At 38.6% G+C, this 15422-nt stretch overlaps 1 protein-coding gene across 27 annotated transcripts in view; it reads right to left on the minus strand.

The window, feature by feature from the left end:
- Positions 1-15422, minus strand: part of MPPED2 (metallophosphoesterase domain containing 2) — a 202912-nt gene that overhangs the window by 144836 nt on the left and 42654 nt on the right. For 20 of the 27 annotated variants that reach the window (NR_165341.1, NR_165348.1, NR_165340.1 and 17 more), the window contains one exon: positions 7080-7261. The exons of 6 other annotated variants lie outside the window; for them this stretch is intronic. Coding sequence is in view for 13 of the 21 variants with exons in the window: in NM_001377956.1 (NP_001364885.1) it covers positions 7080-7261 (182 nt within the window). In the remaining 8 variants the exon portion in view is untranslated. Of the gene's footprint in view, positions 1-7079; positions 7262-12363; positions 12561-15422 lie in introns of all 27 variants that reach the window. One more of the 27 variants, XM_017018231.2, reaches the window with a different exon arrangement.

Here is a 15422-nt window from a genome sequence, read left to right on the forward strand (position 1 = left end):
ACACATCATCTGAAGAAACAATTCTACTTCTAGGAATATATCCTATGAATATAATTAAGGATGTTTGCAAAGAGAGAGCAAGAAAGATGTTCATCACTTCAGTGCAAGTAGAATAATAAAAGAATGGAAATACCTTATGTATCTAGCAAGAGATCTAGCTAAATAAAAAGTGCATCAGTACAACAGAATGCTATGCTGACACAGAGCATGATGTGTTCATTTTTTAAGTTACAAGATTACACTCATAGTTTTATCAATTTTAAAAAATAGTCCTTAATAAAGACCCTAAATGGGTGAAGATTTCCTGCTATTGAGGATATTATAAAAAGAAACAGAAAGTAGAAAAAATTTTGAAATGTTATACATCAAATAGTAAGTAATTACTTTGGAAATATAATTATGGAGGAATGTATATTTTATACTTTACACACATCAAATATTTGGATTTTTATAATGTTATGTGTATCTTACAATGAAAGTATTCTTCTTGGGAAAAAGTATTTTAACCACATTCAGTGATGTGAAAAGTGGTTCATAATATATCGTTAAGATGAAAAAGAGACTACAAAGCAATACAACTGTAAGACTTATATTTTGGCAAAAGATATTTGTGTGTGTGTGTGTGTGTGTATTTATAGAAGACATTCTACATGAATTCACACTAATGTTAACAGTAGTTACATCTGTTCATAGGTAATTTTGTTTTCTTCTTTTCACTTATCTCTAAGTTAAAAGGAATGCACATGTATAACATATATTATAAGAATAAAATAAACAGCCTTGGCGGTGAAGGTTTTTCCTAAAGACCAGCTCCAAAACTTTGGGCCAATAGCAGGATCACTAGAAAGGGAATATAGTCTTCTGAGAGAGGCAAAAATTGATTTGTATGTCTGCAATCTGGGATGTTGGTTACAGTCACACTCTGTTACAGCCATGTCTAACAAAATGCTCTTACAAATATGAATGACCCTCTTCTTGAGATTTTCCTTGAAGCATTTTTGTTCTCCCTTTTAGGGCTGGAGAAACTGAAGCTCGGAACTATTAAATGACAATCCAGACCAAAGAAAGGCCATAATTGAAAGGCCATAATTAAAAGTTCATGGCAATGATGCTGTGTTAAAAGGAATTTTTGACTGACTGGATTGTTATACGTAAACTTTTGACTGAAAGAATAGACCACCCAAAAACTCTGCCTTTCTAATTATAAAGTGGGAAACTCAACAGCAACAATATACCCTTCTTATTTCTGCACAGTATATAGGAATCAACAACAACAGCCAATGGGATATTATAAGTTCTTTGAGAATAAAAGAAAAAGGAAGGGGAGGGAAGGATTAGGCACTATACATACATAATTTTAAAGTTTGGCCAAAAGCGGAGGCAGGAAAAAACATCTTGTACCTTTATGTTCATCCACTCACTCAATGATTCAACAAACATTTGTGTACACCAACAATGTTCCAGGCCCTATACTCAGAACCAGGCATACCAAGAGCACTCATTATGCACACTGCTGTCTGGTAGGGCAGAGAAACAAGTAAACAATGGCATAGCCATGGGAAGGGATGCACAGACTGGTGACTGATGTGTTAAGGAAAGTAGCTTACTGTGAAAGAGAATCTGTCATAAAGGATGAGTTCTCCTAGAGACGGTCATTCCAGGAAGTGGGAACAGCGTTTTCAAAGGGAAAGAGGTGTGAAGGGACATGTTGCATTTGAAAAATGGGAAGAAACTGGGTATGGGCATAAGGGAAAATCAGAAATAAGAAGGTGGATGTGCAATCAAACGATGAGATCTTCTAATGCCTATTTGTGTAGCATCCATGAGCATAAACTGCAATATTCAAGAAGGCTACCAAAAGTATTCTGAAGATGAAAGCACAACAGGGACAAAATTGAGGGAACAGTAAGTAATCTCAAAGAAGCACAGGTGGAAGGAACACAGGGCCAACGTGCAGGAAGAACACACATGGTAAGAGGCCTTGCAAAATGTACCTTTAGAGAATGTGGTATTAGAAGCCACTGATGTTCAAGGCAATAAAAATAATCACATTTTAACTGACAGGTACTTTATCTAGTTCACAAGTTTATTTTTAAGCCAAGTCTGGGATTGGTATGCATTTTTGCTAAGATAAGAAGGAAAATGTTATTAACTATTAGGTGGCAGGGTCCCAGTTCAACTCACCAAAGCCTATTCATGGCTTACCTAGAACACATCTTAGCTAAAATGTTAATGAGACAATAGGAGCTGACTATCACTTTAAAAAGTATTTCTTTAAGAAGGATTCATCTGTACCTCTCTCCATATACTCTGGCAATAAATCTTTGACAATAAGAAGCCACTTGTCCCTCTGACCCTAGACTAGATGCCCTGAAGACAGCACTACGGGCAGCAGCCAGGTGAAGAGAGGCACAGGTTGTCTGGGCAAATGGAGGACTGGGATGTCTGATTAGCCAGACTGGGGAGAGATGGAAAACAGGGGCTCTGTCACTCCCTCCAGCTGTCTGATATAGGGATTCAAAGTTTCATTCCCCAATCCATGGTAGAGATTTGGGAGGAAAGGGGCCAATGCGGTGGTAGCTGCAGTTTTTAGAATATCCTGATCATTTCAAGTGTTCATAAGTGGGAAATGCTTGCCCAAAAAGACGATATTTCCAGGCTACCATCAGTAGCTACTCATTTCCAGGACTGGTCAATGAAATGCTAATGTCATAACATAATTTAGACTGTTCTTTGGAGCTTACATGACTGGCTGCATCTGTAGAATTCTTTACGGGTATTTGCTTTGTTGTAACTCACCAAAGTTGTCTACACCAAATGGGGAGAATACTTCCCTACCTCATAATGCTCTTCCATCGGCCAGCTTACGTAGAGAGGCTGTGCCACAAAACAGCTTTCTCAGGAAATAAACCACCTTAGGCCCTGAACATATGTACGTGTAAGTACTTGTGTTAAAAGGAGGCAGTTATTCGAAGAACCATGGTTTTACCCAGGATGTAGTTCCTCCAACAGATTTCAAGCCCCACTCTGGGAAGAGAGGTAAGGAAATACACTTGGAAATTGGAGTCTGATGGACGTAAGTCCAAATCCTGAGGTCACTGCTGAACTGTTAAGTTCACCAAGGCTCAGTTTCCTCACACGTTAAAAGGAAGCTAATAATACCTACTTCACAAGTTATTGTGGGGGTTGTATGAAATGACACATGTAATGCAGGGGTACAGCATCTGGACCTTACCTCCCATAGACAATACATGTTAATACATGTTAGTTCACCCACCCCATCCTGCCCCATCCAAATTCTATCCCAACTTGGCTATTAATTATCTGCGAAACCGTGGACAATTCATTAAATCTCTCCAGTCTCAGTTTCCACTTCTATCAGATTAGGAGGTAGGACTCCATGGCCTTCAAGGTCTCTTCCTGTCCTAACATTCTGTCTGGTTAGTGTCACTGTTATAAGGGAGGCTCATTTTTATACATTTTGGTGCTCCCTCTTTACACTCTGGATCCCTCTTTAAATGCCCAGGGCCAGCTCCTTTTAACTTCTGCTTTTGGGATTCTATGCCACTGGCTCTGTTGGTTTCCTCTACTCTATTAGTTGAAAGTTGTATACAGGCCAGAGGTTGTTCTAAGAACAGTATGAGCTTTATCACAGAGCATATCCTCACAACCACCGTAAGGTGTATTATCATTATGATGCCCATTTTGGAAATGAGCAAATCAAGGCTTGAGAGTTTACACAACTTAACAAAGGTAGTGAATTCAAAACTGGCTGGGTCTTCCCAGTTGCTCATAATCATTACATGTTATACTCCCCTTCCATCCTGTAGTGATATCTGGTTTGAGTTCAATCTTCTTATGACCTAAGATGAAGCTGTGCTCGATTATCTGATAAATTACGCATGTTAATGACTTTGCCTGTTACTCCTACTAGGTGACATATGTACAGATTAACCAGGGATCATCATCTCTGAACCAACAAAGAACTCATGATGGGATTCCCTGGCCTTGCAGTTGCTAAGTCAAGGGTGAGATTTAAGATGGGCAGAGCTTAAACACATCTTTCAAATACGTGCAATATTAGCACATAGCCAAACAGCTACTCAACTTCCACATGAAGCTGCCAGAAGCTACAGCACTTTCTAGTACAAGCTTCAAATGTGCATGCTTCCAGATGCCACAAGCCCTGTCATAATATCACAGAATGACAAAGGAAAAGGGCTCACACTTTGGAGTCAGACAGCCCCATGTCTACTAGCTGAGTGTACTTGGGTGGATACTCAGCCACTATGAGCTTCTTACATACTAAATGACCTTGGGTAAAATGGGGATAACATTAGCAACTTCAGAAGGATGTTACAGGTATAGAGGGAGTGCCTGGCCTATAGTAGAAACAACTTAGCTCAGAGACAGAATAAAGGAGCTTGGGGGACAGTCAGGTTGTTTTCAATAATCAGGGTAGTCTACACTAGAGTAGAAAGCCAGAAATCAGAGATTCAGTGGACTCCAAATGCCTACCAAATCTGTGAGACCCATGCCCCACTGACAGTCGGATGCCCTATTATGGAAAAAGCCCTAAAACCCTAGATTGATCTGACCTCTGACTCCACTCTGCCAGGCCACCTGGCAGCTGCTGCTAGAAGCACCCTTTCAGAAAGGGTCCTCATTGAGCCAAGTGGTAGAGTGTTATCACACACCATCTCTTACCCTCTGAGCACCATGAGGTTGCCTGGGTAACAGTGAGCTATTCTTGGCCTTCTCTATGGGATCCCAACTTCTCTAACCATATCCCAGGGCTCCCTTCGATCTCACATTCTGCAACCCATGCTGAAACCTCTTCCTCCTGTCTCACCAGATCATAGGGGAAATAGGAAGAGAAGGCACTGACCATGCAGCTGTGCCTTGGCATTTTATTTCCTTATCATTGTATTTCCTTAGTTATGACACATTTCCATTTATGGAGTACTTTCCCTTATAAAATCTCCCAGTGTTTACTTCTGATCTACTAAATAATTCCTCTGGCCTCTTCTTTTTACCCTTTAAATATATTTTGATGGTTCATTTGGCACATTCCCCATTCAGTTATTAATGGCCCACAAAAACTTACTAGCAGCAATCATTTACTGATTAATCTACACAACAATCCAGAAAGACAAGTAGTATTAATCCTTCGTCCTGCAGAGGGAAACCAAGGGGAAAAGGAAGGTTAACTCAGTTTCCCAAGGTCAGTGGCTAAACAAGATTATAACCAGCCCTAACCTGTCCTCCATTTCTATAAACACTTCCCACAGTGCTGTTGTCTTCCTTTAAAAATCAACATTGTCAACGCAGCTCGATAATTTCTGTGTTGAAATTCCATTGACACAGACTAGTTCAAAACTCTCAAGATTTACCAACAATAATTTTAACTGCTAATAGTTCATGGATGAAAGTTGCTAAAATAAAGAGATTATTGTAGAGAAAAAAGACATAAGCGAAAAGATCTGGATTTAGAACCAACTCTGCCACTATGAAACTGAAAAAATCACTTAACTTCTCTACATCTCTGTGTCATCTGTAAAAATGAGATTATGCTAAATAATATTTAAAATATCTTGCCATTTTAAATAACATGATTAAGTACCTACTAAAACAGCACAAAATATAAATGCTCCAACATCCAATGCTGCCAAGACCATGATAAAACTAGTACCTATACATTCATTCACTGCTAGTGAAACACACAGCTACAGTGCCCTTGAAAAGCAACATGCCAACATGTAGCAAAAACCATAAAGAATTTCATATCCTTTGACTTAGCAAATTAAGTATAGTATTTTTCCCTAAGAAATAAATCAATAGAAACAAAACGACATACACAAACAAAAATGCACATTTCAGTGCTAGCTACCAGAGGAAAAATTGTTATCAATTTAAATGCTCATTTTTAGAGAGATGTCTTATTAAAGAAAGGCATAGCCAACCATATGAATGCCATGCTGCTATTAAAAAGAATATGAAAATTATGCAAAAACGTTTTAAGTCTTACCAATAAATACTATTAAATGAAAACAGCCAAAAGTCAAAAAGCAGATATGTACTCAGATGTCAACCATACAAAATGTGAACAGATGAGCAAAGTCACATGAAAAATCAAAATAATTATGTTATTAGTTAAGTTTATTGCTTACAATTCTAAAATATCATCTTTCCACTAACACGTCTTATCATTTAATCGAAAATTTAAAAAATTTTCAAACCCTGCTTTAGTTTGATGGAAAACAAAGTTGTAATGTTTTTGCCTAAATCTCCCAAGTTATTTTTGTTGGCTGACATATTATTGACAATGTTACGCTCCCAGAGTGACGTCTGCTCTTTACTATATAATTCTTTCGTCTTTAGGGATTCTAAAATCTCAGAACATTTGCACTTCTTTCCCTCCGCTAAGAGGAACCAGGATCCAATATTTTGCAGTAACTGACCTGTGGGTGCCTCCACAATATCCAGAAAATTGCTATTATCCTTTTTACAGGACACAGGGCAACTTCACATCCCAAGTTTTTACTTTACAGTAATATATCTCATGTTTTCAGGGGTCTAGAACACCCTCCAGCTCACTTAGGAAATCCGCTCCCAAGCAGCACTGTGCTATAGGAATTTTGTTTCATATAAGGACTTTTATAACCCCTTCATTTCTTAGAAATGTTCTCTTACTAGTAGGTCATTTGTATATCTTTGCTTATAATATCTGGGGAAAAAAAGATTGCAGAGCCAATGAATTAAAAATATGATTCTAGGTCTCCTGTGTGCCAATGAATGCCCTCATTAAAGCAGAATGAGTGAGATGAGATGGGTTTCAAAGCTTTCCATCCCTTTGCCCCAGAGCCACCAAGGCCAGGCACTGAAAGGATGCACAGTAAAATTAAATATCTAAAAATTCATCTTTAATTAACAGAATTGGATTAAAGCTAGACACCACCGCATATCATACGAGAAATGGCTGAGCTGGCTTCCAAGTGCTCTAATTCAATTAGGACGCAGTGAGTGACACTCGGACGGGAAAGGTTAATTGGGGCCGCCAGAACGCAATCATTCCTTACCTAACCAGTCATTAAACTTCTTAACCTCTGAGGGCAGTCCCAGCTCGGTGAAATCGCCTGTGTGGAGAAGGATGTCCCCATAAGGCATCTGGATACCATCTGTTCTGGAGTGTGTGTCTGAGATGCAGACAAACCGCGTGTGGCCCGCTGGTTTTGGAGTGTCATATGGGATGGGGTCGACCCTAAAGTAGACATAACAGATCCCATAACAGTTAAACATATTAGAACCCTTGAAATTGTCGTCGCACATACATATTTATTATTATTCGTGAATGCACCCAGACAAACTGACGCAAAGGCAGAAGGGCCCACTGTAATTAAGGACACTTCTGGGTGTAACAGAGACAGCATCACCCATTTACAAACCCACTGGGCAAATTCAAAAGGACTTACTTACCTGGTAGGAAAATTAAAAGGAATGAATATCTTACATATAGATCTGAAATAACCCAGGAAACTGATAGAGTGATTAATGGTGAAGTTTAGGGATACTGAACCTCAACTGGGGAAGCAAAATTATGCTATTTCTCTCTCATCATGCTCCAATTGATCCCACTACTCATTAGGAAATAGATAACTAATTTATTCCTTCTTAAACATGCATAACTTAAGCAATGAACTAATTTACAGAGAGCAGTCTGCACATGCTCTGCCAACTGAGATGTGGAGAGATAGCACTTATATTTAATTTCCTTTCCACAACCATTCAACACCTGTATCTTCTGGTTTTTGCTATTCACAAATCAAACCGTAGGGAGAGAAGGTGATGCCAAAATAACAGAGCTTTAAAAATTAAAAAAAAAAAAAGACACTGGATGTTAAAAGAACTTTGTCAAACTCGTTTTTACTGCGATGAATTATCTGCAGTCCCAGTTACACCTGAGGTTACCAGGAATGCTCAAATGCCTTGGGCAAAGATTCTATTCAGTACAAATATTAAGCCTTTTAATGGGATGTATATATCTACATATACGTTAATATATGTATAGTTTTAGAGACCTAAGCACTGTGAAATTACACCAGGGCATAAGAATCAAAAGGCAAAATGATCAACCCAAAGCAAAGAAAATGAAACAGAACATCCTCATTTAATTGAGTGTAACAAAGTGTACTAAATAAACTTGGTAAAGGAATGCAAATCTGACTCTTCAAGCATACAGTTTTAATTATTTAAGGGGTTTGTCGCAGAGTTAAGGATGCTTTAACTATATTAACTCTACACTGACAGCCTCCTTTAATTTCTCTGTAGGAATGTACACTTATTTTCGGATTATAGGTGAAAAGAAGCAGTTATAAATGCAAAGAGAAGGTCACAAGAGAAGCAAATATGCAATGCAGAGATTAGAGTGTGAAACATTAAATAAGGAACAATATTTCATATCCCAGCCCCAACCCTTGATAGTTAACATGCAGCAGAGAACACACTGAAAGCTCCACACAAGACTCCCTAAACATATTGCCTCTACAGGCTTTGTTTAATTTGTTTTCTCTTTTCCTTTATTTATTTATTTTCTTAAAGAAACAATCTGTTTTAACAATGACAATTTCAGTGAGGGAAATAGAAGAGATCAGTGTGCAACCTGGATAGTCCCACATTTCTTCAATGACTAACCTTTTTATTTCCTCTTATCTGTGTCGGAGAAGGAAAGTAAGAGGAGCAAGAAGGAAGGGAGGAAAGGAGGAGAGTAGGGAGGAAGGAATTGTGAACTGGTTATCACAGTGGGTCTAATTGGAAGCCCAAAAAGAAAGTTTAACTTCCGCAAAAAATTAATGGATTTTTTCTGTTAGAAAGGTTAGAAATTAATATGCTGTTACCACGTAGAAAATTCACTAATCCACTGTGATCTCATTAGTAACCTGGAAACCCTCCTCATTATAGCCGATGTTGCTTTTTTAGATGTAAAAATGTTTGATGTCTTCCTTTCCATCACTGAGACTTGGTTACACTCAGTCTCGGTGCTTACAATCTTAGCAACATTTCCTGTCTTTGAAAAGTAGTTTTCCCAGAGAATGAATGACTGTTCCCTGCTGGGGCTGACTGTGTCACTCTCTAAAAGTGATAAGCAATATCCCTATACCAATAGTTAAATGCTCACTAGAATAGGACTGTTTGCATTTATACTTAATGCACCAACATTTGAATGAAAATTTAATAAATCAGCCACTACATCTCTAAATATATGAATAAATGTAATATCTACCTATTCTAGTGTTTGTTTTCTAGCTTTCATTCTAATACTAACATACAGACACAGCCCCATTTCTCCTTTTCTGTAACTCAGCTAAGCTACAGACCCAGCTACTGCATCAAAATCCTTTGGGAGGTCATCTCAGCTTATCAGACAGACATCATTGTCATTATTTTGAATTAGACTGAAAGTAGCACAGATGTAAACCTCTTGTTGTAAATAGTTCCCTGTTCTATGAATCTACCCACTTTAAAGTAGCCAATCATCACATGGTACATAATTGGTTCCTCATCTTGACTTCATACTAGGCAATAAATTTTCTGACATTATGGGGAACACTAGGCAATTTCTGAATCACTTCAACCTCTTTCTCCACCTCCCACCTCCTTCAGAGAAACATTTAAATATCAAAGTCCAAGGAACAGCTGAGTAGAGGGGACAGTAAAAATGGGAAAAGTGTTTCTTCTCAGCTTTGAGCTGAAATAGTAAGTGTTTCTTCTCAGCTTTGAGTCCAAAGTAGACAGCAAGACAAGCAAAGAAGGCTCGCACATCTACACCACCACCATGATGCCATCAAAGAGAAATAATGTGTAGACACTAGGGAGAATGCACAGAAGATCGATTCAAGGCAGGGGATGGGGGAAGTGAGGCGTATACAGATGCAGACTTTATATAGATATCCTGACCCAGAGGCACTGAGAATCTTTGCTATCCATAGGAATAAGTACAAAGCAAGAGATGGTTTCAGAAGACAAGGCAGTGCAACATGCCAAAGCCACTCTGTGAGATGGTACAACAAATATCACCTGGAGCTCATAGGAAGAAGACATTTCCACCCACAGGCATAGAGTTGAAAATAAGACCTCTAGCAGAGTGGGCAAATTCCAGTGGAGATAATTAAAACTGAGACCACCCTCAGGAAACTACTCCTCCCAAATTGGGCATTTGATAAACACCTGGAAAAGTCAAGACAGCCAAACATTTTCACTATAAAAGTACATCTAAGGGAGACTCCAACTGCTACTGGAAGATCCTATCTGTTCATATTGTGTGAAGGCCCTCACACTATATTTTCATCCTTAGTTTACAACTTTACCACTTACTGTTTATGCTGCTGAGTTCTCAAATGACCTAACATTTCCCCTAAGGCATCGTGTCAAATATCCTAGCAAGTGAGTATCTTACCAAGGCAATCTAAACCCCAGAGCCAGATTCAAATATTAGAGTGATATTTGCACATATGTTTGAGTACACCTGGGGGACAACAAGGTGACATGGGAAGATGAGAAAAAAACATAGCAGCATAAAATCCCAAAGCAGGACTAAACCTTATGGGGCATCTCGTTCAATGTTTTACATGACATCTGAATCTCCTCTATCCCTTCCCTCTAGACGACATAATGTTTTGTGTTTGTTTGGTTTGTTGGTTGTTTTTTCTTTTGTTGTTTGTTTGTTTGAGACAGGATCTCGCTCTATCACCCAGGCTGGAGTGCAGTGGTACAATCATAGCCTACTATAGCCTCGACCTCCCAGGCTCAAGCAATCCTCCCACCGCAGCTTCCAGAGTAGCTGGGGTTATGGGCACAGGCAACCACACCCAGCTTATTTTTCTTGTTATTAGCAGTAGTACAGGTGAGGTCTTGTTATGTTTCCTGGGCTAGTCTTGAACTCCTGGGCTCAAGTAATCTTCCCACCTCAGCCTCCCAAAGTGCTGAGATTATAGGCGTGAGCCACCCCCACCTGGCTTCAATTTTCATTCTGAGGTTTCCAGAGAAGGAGAGCTCCTTCCTCCCCCTGTGCAACCCATCCTAGTTTTTTCATAGCTTTACTTGTTAGAAAGTTCTGTTTCAGATTCTGTACCTCTGAGAAAGCTGAGCATGGTCCAAAGACTTTGGCCTGGAACCTGAAGACTAAGTAACAATTTTAGGTCAGTCATTGGCTTTGGGCAACTTCCTTGATTTCTTTAAGCTTCACTTTTTCTCATCTGTAAAATGGGAATAATAATGCCTAATTTTCTGTGTTGCTATGTGGATGCAAACTATCAAGTACAGCATCTGACACACAACAAATGCTCCAAAAATAGAGTAGCAGAATAGCGTAAGGGTGAAGGATGTTTGGCTGCAGAGCCAGACTGCCTGGCTCTGAAATCCACTCCACAACTTATTAACATGCAACACCAAGCAAGGGGCTTAACCCTTGTGCCTTGGTTCCCTCATCAGTAAAACAGATATAAATATAGTACCTATCTCCTAAGATTGTTATGAGAATAAAAAATGATAATGTACTCAAAGCATTTAGAACAGTGTCTGACATGAAGTAGATACCCAATAAATGTTAGTATTTTTTTTTTACTAGTAACTAATAGTATTTTTACTACTATTAGTAGTAGTATCATTTAACTTCTATGACCTCCATCTCTTTTTCTGTTGTAGGGAGATAATAACATCTACCACTCACTCAGGGACTTTGTGAGAATTAAAAGAAATCACATACACAACACCCAGCATATACTGGGAGCGGAATCCATGGTCTTTAATATATTTATTTCCTGCCTGTCCCTCCTTCTTAATCCTAGTTCTGCACTCTGAAATAACAAGAAAATAAGAACCCAGTCCCTTTTCCATTGGACAGTTCTTCAACTATTTGAAAACAATCTATTATAATCCCCGGAAATCATCTCCACTCTAGTGGAGTAGCTACAGTTTCTTCCATTTTTCCTTGTGTGATAAGATGTCTAATGTCCTCAGAAGGCTATTTCCTCCCAGATACAATTTCACTGGGGAGAATCCCTCCCTTTGTAGTGTCAGAATTCATGGTCTGTGTGAATTCATGAACCAATGAGCTGTTCATCAAAGACAGATGCTAGCCCAGGCCATGGGGAGGTGGCACTGCTGAACAAATTGGCAGATTTTTCTAGAGAAGGCCTGAGCTATCATCTTAAACCATTTTCCAATGAACTTTCCAAGTTTTGTGCCAAGCCTCAAATCTTGTTCTTGAAGCTTGATCATCAAATGCTTACATATCTCACTGCATATTCAAACAAATAAACCATTCTTGTTTATTCAGTCTTGACATATTAGGGTTTTTTTACTCACAAAAAATATGATAATATTATGGCTTCCATTCTGATTCCTCTTCCGGCCATATTTATTATTGTTTTTCCAATAACAAATGAATACAGTATTGCAAACCTCATTGGTAGATCTTCAGAAAAGCTGTCATGTGGTTTGTTGTGACATGGATTTCTTCTTTAGACCATGTGTGCAGTATAACCTTTGTGTATACAATCAACCTATAATTCAGTGAGAGAATAGAACTGTATCCTTACAAAGCATTTTAAAGGGATTTCAGTGCTTTTAGCAACCCCCATTCCACTTTAAAATCCTCAGGCTGTGCTTATGGATTCCACTGAGGTTTTCTTACTTTTGTTTTTGCTTTTTTTAGACAGTGTCTAAACTCAAGTACAGTGGCATAATCTCACCTCACTGCAACCTCTGCCTCCTGGGTTCAAGCAATTCTCCTGCCTCAGCCTCTCAAGTAACTACGACTACAGGCATGCGCCACCACGCCTGGCTAATTTTGGTATTTTTATAGAGACAAGGTTTCACCATGTTGGCCAGGGTGGTCTCAAACTCCTGACCTCAAGTGATCCACCTGCCTTGGCCTCCCAAAGTGTTAGGAGTACAGGAGTGAGCCACGGTGCCTGGCCCACTGACTTTATCTCTAAAAACTTTCCAATGTGATATCAAGGCTTTCCTTTTCACCCAGAAAATTTAGATAGCATTAATGCTAAACTTATATTTGTGATGTTCTATCATCCAACCTGGACATACTATTTGATAAAGACAAGTAAAACCTGCCAGCACAACAATGAACAAATAAATAACAGGTTTAAGTTACCAGAATTACAGAACTTTTATGTTTAAAGGAACTTAGAGATGATCTGATCCTGTGTTCCACTTCTTTGAGGATCATCTTCATGGCCTTTGCCTTACTCACTTGTACTAGTCCTTAATTTTTGTTAGATGCTTAATAGTTTTTACAGAAATATTTTTTAGTTTTGCCCTGAAAAACAACATCTTTGAAGTCATCAGTCAGATATGATGGTTTTACTTTTTTAATGTGTAGTAACACATTAAAATAAACACGAGCCAGGTTCGGTGGCTCATGTCTGTAATCCCAGCACTTTGGGAGGCTAAGGTGGGTGGATTGCTTGAGCTCAGGAGTTCGAAATCAGCCTGGGCAACATGGCGAGACCCCATCTCAACCAAAAGTACAAAAAAAAAAAAAAAAAAAAAAAAGCCAGGCATGGTGGTACATGCTTATAGTTCCAGCTACTCAGAAGGCTGAGGTAAGAGGATCACTTGAGCCCAGGAGGTCAAGGCTGCAGCGAGCTGAGATTGTGCCACTGCACTCCAGCCTGGGTAACAGAGCAAGACCATCTTAAAAAAATAAAAATAAAAATAAAATAAAATAAACATGTAAGTGTTCAATTTTTGTTTAAGGTATGTCTCCTCTAAAGTGTCTTGCTTATTAATACTAATGATACATAGTCCATGCTCTGGAAAACACTGATCTGGTTTAAATTGACTCATTTTACCATGAAGAATCTGAGCCATAAGTAGAACTCAGATTTTCTAACTTTCAATTCACTTATCTTTCCACCCACTTAATTTTGCAAGCTAAAATATACCTGCACTTGGAGAATAAAAATAATTTTAAAAATGACAAAATACTGGCAAATCAGTCACCTAACTCTGGCAACCATTAATATCTAGAGAGACAGTCCAAAATTATTGGAATTAGTTGTCAAAAATATCCAAGTTTTAGTGCTCTCTATCCAGTCATGGATAATTTACATGAGAAGTGAAGTAATGACTTCTCCTAAACTAAATAAGTCTCCTAAGTTTACCAAAAAAATAAAAATAAGTCTCCTAAATGAAAAAAATGCATATTACAGGGAGTGAACAATACAGAAGTTTGTTTTTTAAAATGCTGATAAAGATATAAAGGTTCCTCATTCTCAAGGATCTCACGTCACATGCACATATGGATTTTGCTTCCACATACAGGTCTCTTCAGAGGGACTAGTTCAGTTGACTGATGAGTCTCATTAGAAAGAGCCCTGGCTGTGGAATCCAGTGGCTTTTGTGTTCTTACTACATATATCATCAATCAGCTGTGTGACCCTGGGCAAGTCACTTCCCATCTTCTAGCCTCTGTCCCTCTAGTGTGAAAAGAGAGGCAAGACCAAATGACTCCAAAGTTCCATGATTAGCCACACAGTTTACACACCACTATTTACCGATGAAAGAGCAGAAACAATTCAGGTTCTGAAGTCACTCCAAACCTGTTTTTCTCTTTGCAATTTTATTTTATGCTTTCCCAGACAATGCAAAGATAAATGCCATCCACATCCATCCACATATAATCAGAATTAGCAAGACTTTAAATAAAGAGAAGTGAAATTGCAATTTACGACTGTAGACTGAGCTTCTAGATATATCTATTCCAACAGAGAACAAAGAAGCCAGAATTCCAGTTATAACAAAAAAACAAAAATGACAGAATATGTGATTGAACTAAGGCGTTCCAGAAATGGCGTTGTTCTTTTTTTTTTTTTTTTTTTTTTTTTAAACTAGGAGCTGGTAAAATTCTTAGTTTAGCCATTATGCCCCAGAACAGTAATGGTGCTGAAACACAGTAAGCAGAACAGAACCAGATGTATAAAGATATTCACATTTGTACCACAGGCACTGCTTTTCTTTAACTGCTGAACTGCTGTATCAACACTGTTCTATTACCAACTAATTATAGCTAACAAAGCCCACTGCACGGAGTGTGTCTCCTCTATTTTTTCCTCTTACAAAAGTACAGTGCCGACATTCAATGAATGTTAAGTGGTAACAATTTAATTCTTTGAGCACTGCATGCAATATGAATTCATGGTCCTTCTCCTAGTGCCATCTGAGGTGTTTTTATGTGCATCAGGCTAACTACCGTGTCAGCCACTGAAACCTCTCAGATGACATATCGCTGGGTCATAAATATCCCACTGGAGATGTATTGTCCAGGGTTAAACGTTTCCCTCCCTTCTAACATGGCAATCACGTTAATCAGCTTAAAATTCTGGGTAATGGCCTTGCATTTGAGA

The sequence above is a fragment of the Homo sapiens genome, chromosome 11, assembly GCF_000001405.40.
Source record: "Homo sapiens chromosome 11, GRCh38.p14 Primary Assembly".
NCBI classification, from domain to species: Eukaryota; Metazoa; Chordata; class Mammalia; order Primates; family Hominidae; genus Homo; species Homo sapiens.